The sequence below is a fragment of the Homo sapiens genome, chromosome 11 (assembly GCF_000001405.40).
Source record: "Homo sapiens chromosome 11, GRCh38.p14 Primary Assembly".
NCBI classification, from domain to species: Eukaryota; Metazoa; Chordata; class Mammalia; order Primates; family Hominidae; genus Homo; species Homo sapiens.
The window spans coordinates 134,052,106-134,058,105 of record NC_000011.10 but is presented as its reverse complement, the minus strand read 5'-3'; the positions used below and the strand labels follow the sequence as shown (position 1 = coordinate 134,058,105).

General features: G+C 49.0%; 1 annotated feature.

Annotated features, from left to right (window-relative positions):
• Positions 3,825-4,677: an enhancer, noted in NCBI's record as "H3K4me1 hESC enhancer chr11:133923324-133924176 (GRCh37/hg19 assembly coordinates)". NCBI's record gives its function as "activates a minimal SCP1, AML or CMV promoter by ChIP-STARR-seq in naive H9 embryonic stem cells {active_cell/tissue: H9 hESC(naive)}" and the evidence as "EXISTENCE:reporter gene assay evidence [ECO:0000049][PMID:30033119]".

Genomic DNA, 6,000 nt, shown 5'->3' with positions numbered 1-6,000 from the left:
AAAACCCAAAACCTCTCAACAGAAGATTGAACAGTGGCCTGAAAGAAAACTTGTGAAGTAGAAGATGGATCTTAGAAAACTATCCGGGATGAGCCACAGTGGTAAACATATGGAAATAGAAAAAAAAATGTTGGCCAGGCGCAGTGGCTCACGCCTGTTATCCCTGCACTTTGGGTGGCCGAGGCAGGTGGATCATCTGAGGTCAGGAGTTTGAGACCCACCTGACCAACGTAGTGAAATCCTCATCTCTACTGAAAATACAAAAATTGGCTGGGCGTGGTGGAGGACACCTGTAATCCCAGCTACTTGGGAGGCTAAGGCAGGAGAGAATTGCTTGAACTCGGGAGGTGGAGGTTGCAGTGAGCTGAGATCAGGCCACTGCACCCCAGCCTGGGTAACAGAGCGAGACTCCATCTAAAAAAAAAAAAAACAAATTTAAGAGATGTACGCTATAGAAACACGTTGTAGTGGGATAAAATAAAAATGTGGGTCTAAAGGCAGTAATTGAAGAGGGAATGGCTCAGAATTTGCCAGAATTGGTGAAAGACATGAGTTCTTTTGGGATTTTGTTTGTTTTTTGTTTTTGAGATGGAGTCTTGCTCTGTCACCCAGGCTGGAGTGTAGTGGTGCAATCTCGGCTCACTGCAAGGTCCACCTCCTGGGTTCAAGCCATTCTCCTGCCTCAGCCTCCCAAGTAGCTGGGACTACCGGCGCCCACCACCACGCCCGGCTAATTTTTGTGTGTTTTTAGTAGAGACTGGGTTTCACCATGTTAGCCAGGATGGTCTCGATCTCCTGACCTCGTGGCCCGCCCGCCTTGGCCTCCCAAAGTGCTGGGATTACAGGCTTGAGCCACCATGCCTGGCCAAGACACGAGTTCTTAGTTTGAAGAAGCTATTCTAAATAGGATACCCCAGGATAAAGAGATATCTCATTTTGTTTTGTCACACCTAGCCGCATGGGTCTTTGCTAGACATAACACAGTGAAAGACAGAACTCAAAGACTAAGAAAAGTCTCAAGGTTAGTGACAGTCAAAAGATGGCTATTCACTGGGAAACAACAATAGAAGCTGGAACAAAATGAAATAATTGCTTCAAAGTGCTAAGGTGAAAAAGAAGTCAGTCCAGGTTTCTGTATCAGCTAAGTGATGATTCAAGAGTAAAGGGAAAAAAATTTGAGAGAGTTTGTCACCTCTTTACTTGTTGAAAGAAATACTAATGAATGATTTAAAAGAAAAGCTTAAGTTTAAAAAAAGCAAATCTGTACCCAGAGGAAGCAAGGGGATAAAAGAGCAACGATCAGCAAAACATGTAGGAAGCAGGTGAACATATGTAAGTCAATATAGACTCTACAAGACAATAATAGTAATAACCTATCTGTGAGGGTTAAAAAAACTAAAATACTAGACAATGATAACATGAACAACTAGGGTTAGAAGAAATTCAGAGTACTGAAAGGTCAGTAAAGGTTAATTAGATTTAAACTTTCAAAATTAAAGGGTATATTTTAAATTAAGGGTATATTTTAAACGCTTAAGGGTAATTCTTAAAAGGATAGAAATGAAATATATGACTTCCAGATCGTATAGTAGGTGGATGGGTATCTAGCATGGGGCCTTGATATTTAGGCTAAGTTATTTTGAATGTTTTACATGGGTGATGGAGCGTAATGGAAGCCTTTCTTTTTTCTTTTTCTTTTCTTTTTTTTTTTTGAGACAGAGTCTTGCTCTGTTGCCAGGCTGGAGTGCAATGGCGCGATCTCAGTTCACTGCAACCTCCGCCTCCTGGGTTCACGCGATTCTCCTGCTTCAGCCTCCTGAGTAGCTGGGACTACAGGCATGTGCCACCACGCCCGGCTAATTTTTTGTATGTTAGTAGAGACGGAGTTTCACCATGTTGACCAAGATGGTCTCGAACTCCCGACCTCAGGTGATCCGCCCGCCTCGGCCTCCCAAAGTGCTGGGATTACAGGCGTGAGCCACTGCGCCCAGCCATGGAAGGCTTTCTAACAGGGGAGGGCGTGGCACAGAGCAAGTCCCATCCAACTTTATACTCCCCTGACCCACCCGGCCAGAATTCAATGACTTGTTCTGTGTTCTATCGCTGAACTAGCACCTATCACTGTGCACATTCTATATGAACACAGGGGTATAGCATGCCACTGTCTCGCTGCTGGACTGTGAACTCCTAAAGCAGGGAAACATTTTACAAATCGAGGACTGTGAACGCCTAAAGGGGAGAAACATTTTACAAATCGAAGTTGATGACCTGTCAGTAGAGTAGAGAGGGTCTGAGAGCACTTGCTTTATGTTTGTAGCAGACCCTGCTGGGGCGCTGTCTCTTCTGTTCCCTTTTTTTTTTTTTTTTTTTGATACAGAGTCTCCCTCTGTGGCCCAGGCTGGAGTGCAATAGTGCCATCTTGGCTCGCTGCAAGCTCTGCCTCCCGGGTTCATGCCATTCTCCTGCCTCAACCTCCTGAGTAGCTGAGATTACAGGTGCTCGCCACAATGCCCAGCTAATTTTTGTATTTTTGTAGAGACGAGTTTTCAACATGTTGGCCAGGCTGGTCTCGAACTCCTGACCTTGTGATCCACCTGCCTCAGCCTCCCAAAGTGCTGGGATTACAGGCGTGCACCACCATGCCCGGCTAATTTTTGTGTTTTTAGTAGAGACAGGGTTTCACCATGTTGACCAGGCTGTTCGCAAACTCCTGACCTCAGGTGATCCACCCACCTCGGCCTCCCAAAGTGCTGAGATTACAGGTGTGAGCCACCGCGCCCAGCCCGTTTCCTTTGATTCTAAAGACCTGCACCCACAGGTCTCTTCAGAGGACTGCCTGGGGGTACCAGAGCCACCTCTCCATCATGCTCAGGGAACTGCAAATGCCTGGCAATTTCTGCCCCCTTGCAATATCTACGGAAACACAGCTACCTTGCTTCCAGTTGGGACAAACTGAGGAGTAATTGTCCCCAGAGCTCCCCCGCAGGGTCGGCTGAGGCTGGGACGGGTCTGAAATGGCCCTCTTGTTTGGCTTCTTTCCCTTCCCCCCTGCCCCCTGCACTCCTCTGTTACTTCCCACGGGAGCAATTTGTTCCTCACAAACCATCTCAGGGTCGACTTTGCACCTCACCTAAGACAAAGCCCGGCAAGTCATCAATTACAAAGCACTCACTAAGTGCTCGCTGGACACCTGGCTGCACACTAGCCACTATCAGAAGTTCATCTCCCCTTCTTGCTCTCTTCCCCTTCCCCTGTTTATCTTTTTATGTCTCCCTAAGCCAGGAGCAGCAAGTTAGCTTCCAGTTTCCATCCGCTAGGCTGGAAATGAGGACAGCCAGACTTTGCTATTGAGTAGAAGTCCTTGATTAAATCCTTTCCCTTCTCTTGGATTTGTTTTCCTGGTTGTTGTTGTTTGTTTGTTTTTGTTTGTTTTGAGACAGGGTCTCGCTTTGTCACTTAGGCTGGGGTGCAGTGGCACAGTGATGGCTCACTGCAGCCTCAACCTCCTGGGCTCAAGCAATTCTCCTACCTCAGCCTCTTCATAGCTGAGACTACAGCTGTGTGCCACAATGCCTGGCTAATTAAAAAATTTTTTATAAAGACGAGGTCTCACTGTGTTGTCCAGGCTGGTCTCAAACTCCCGGGCCCAAGCAATCCTCCCATCTCAGCCTCCCAAGTAGGTGGGAGTACAAACGCACGCCACCACTCCCAGCTTCCTAAGTTTTTTTTTTTGAGATGGAGTTTCTCCCTTGTCGCCCAGGCTGGAGTGCAATGGTGCAATCTCGGCTCACTGCAAACTCCACCTCCGGGGTTCAAGCGATTCTCCTGCTTCAGCCTCCCAAGTAGCTGGAACTACAGGCACGTGCCACCACAGCCGACTAATTTTGTATTTTTAGTAGAGATAGGGTTTCACCATGTTGGCCAGGCTGGTCTCAAACTCCTGACCTCAGGTGATCCACCCGCCTCCCAAAGTGCTGGGATGACAGGCGTGAGCCACTGTGCCTGGCAGTTTTTAATGGGAATGATATCATATATTCTCCTTCTATCACAAGTTTTCTGTGACTATTTAAACCAAACAACATACACATGGATTTTGGAAAAAGGAAGAGCTTGTGGCATGTGCTTCCAGAGGATTCAGAGTCGCCTGAAGGACTTAGAGAAAGCTTTCCAGCCACTCCCCTCCCCTCCTCTGGGCCACAGCACCCCTGCAGCAGGCATGGGTGGCCGGCCCTGCCAGGCTGGGGGAAGCCTTGGGCCTAAGGAGGCTGCCTGGTTCCCTCGGCAGTGTCTGGAAAGTATTAATAACTGTGGCAGGAGGATTAGCCATATGCCACGTAATTCCTGCTAATCGGGATTGGGGGGAGCTTGTGCTTGTAAGTAACAGATGAGCTGAGCTGCCCTCCCGGCCTTCAGTGCCTTCCTGCAGTGGCGGGGCTCTGGACAGGCCTGGGGCTTCCTGCCCGCCTGTCCTCCTTCCTTCCACCTGCAAGCTTTCTGCTCTGGGCCCCTTTCTCTCTGCACGCTTCCCAGATTGGATCCCCTGCCTCTTGCTGTTTATTCTTCTTCCCAATCTTCCGCTTCTAAGTTAAAGATTCCTTATTTCTACCCCTTTGCTCCCGTAGTCTGACTCTGTGCATGTTCTCAATTGCTTACTTCCACCTCGATGTCTGTCCTTGTCCCCTTCCTGCCTCTCCCTCCCTTTTTTCACACGCACAGACCCACACACTCCTAACTTCTCTTTCTGGCATCAACGAAAACTCTGACTCTTGGTTGCCCTGCGAAGGCCAAGTTCAACGTTCTCAGGCAATCCTTCCTGCCCCGCCCGAGCCTGTTCTCCTCACACTCTTCTGCCCTCACAGAGAATTCCCAATCCTCTTCTTGGGAATTGTTTGCCCTCGCAGCTGGGAAGGAGCCTGACTCTGAGAAGCTGCTCTCCGCCCTCCTCCTCCACCCCCCCCCCCCCGCCCCCGTCTCCATGCTGAGCCCAGAACAGCACGCACAGGCGGGAAACAAACCTCCCTCGCAGGGGCAAATGGAGCGGGGGCCCCAGCCCACATGGAACTGCTATTCCTGCCTCTGTGTCGCACTGTGTCTGTCCTCCTGGCCTCTGTGTGCATAGGTAGGAAGGCGAACCCGCCTTTCTGAGTGGCGAAATACACGACTGTGTCTGAGGGACCCTCTCGGGAGGAGACACACAGGGTTGCAGTGGCTGTGTGTGTGAGAGGCATTGCTGAGGTGAAGATGGATCTGTGGGCATCTGTGTGTCAGAGGCATCTGAACCAGAGCAACTCCATCTTGAATGGGGCCTTGGTGAAAAAACTGAGACCTGCTGGGCTGCACTCCCACGGGTTAGGCTTTCTGAGTCACAGGATGAGATAAGAGGTTGGCACAACATACAGGTCGTAAAGACCTTGCTGATAAAACAGGTTTCAGAAAAGAAGCCGGCCCAAACCCACCAAAACCAAGATGGCAGAGAATGACCTCTGGTCGTCCTCACTGCTGCACTCCCAGCAGCGCCATGACAGTTTACAAATGCCATGGCAACGTCAGGAAGTTAGCCTATATGGTCTAAAAAGGGGAGGCACGAATAATCTACCTCTTGTTTAGCATATCATTAAGAAATAACCATAAAAATGGGCAACCAGCAGCCCTCAGAGCTGCTCTACCTATGGAGTAACCATTCTTTTATTCCTTTCCTTTCTTAATAAATTTGCTTTCACTTTATGGACGTGCCCCGAATTCTCTCTTGAGTGAGATCCAAGAACCCTCTCTTGGCGTCTGGATTGGGACCCCTTTCCAGTAACACGTGCATAGACGTGCTTATGATCAGCATTTTGCAGAAAGCTGTTCAGGAGTGTCTGGAAAGGACACTGGTAGAATTTTTTTTCCACTATTTATTTATTTAGAGATGGAGTCTGGCTCTGTCCCCCATGCTGGAGTGCAGTGGCGCGATCTCGGCTCACTGCAACCTCCGCTCCCGGGTTCATGCCATTCTCCTGC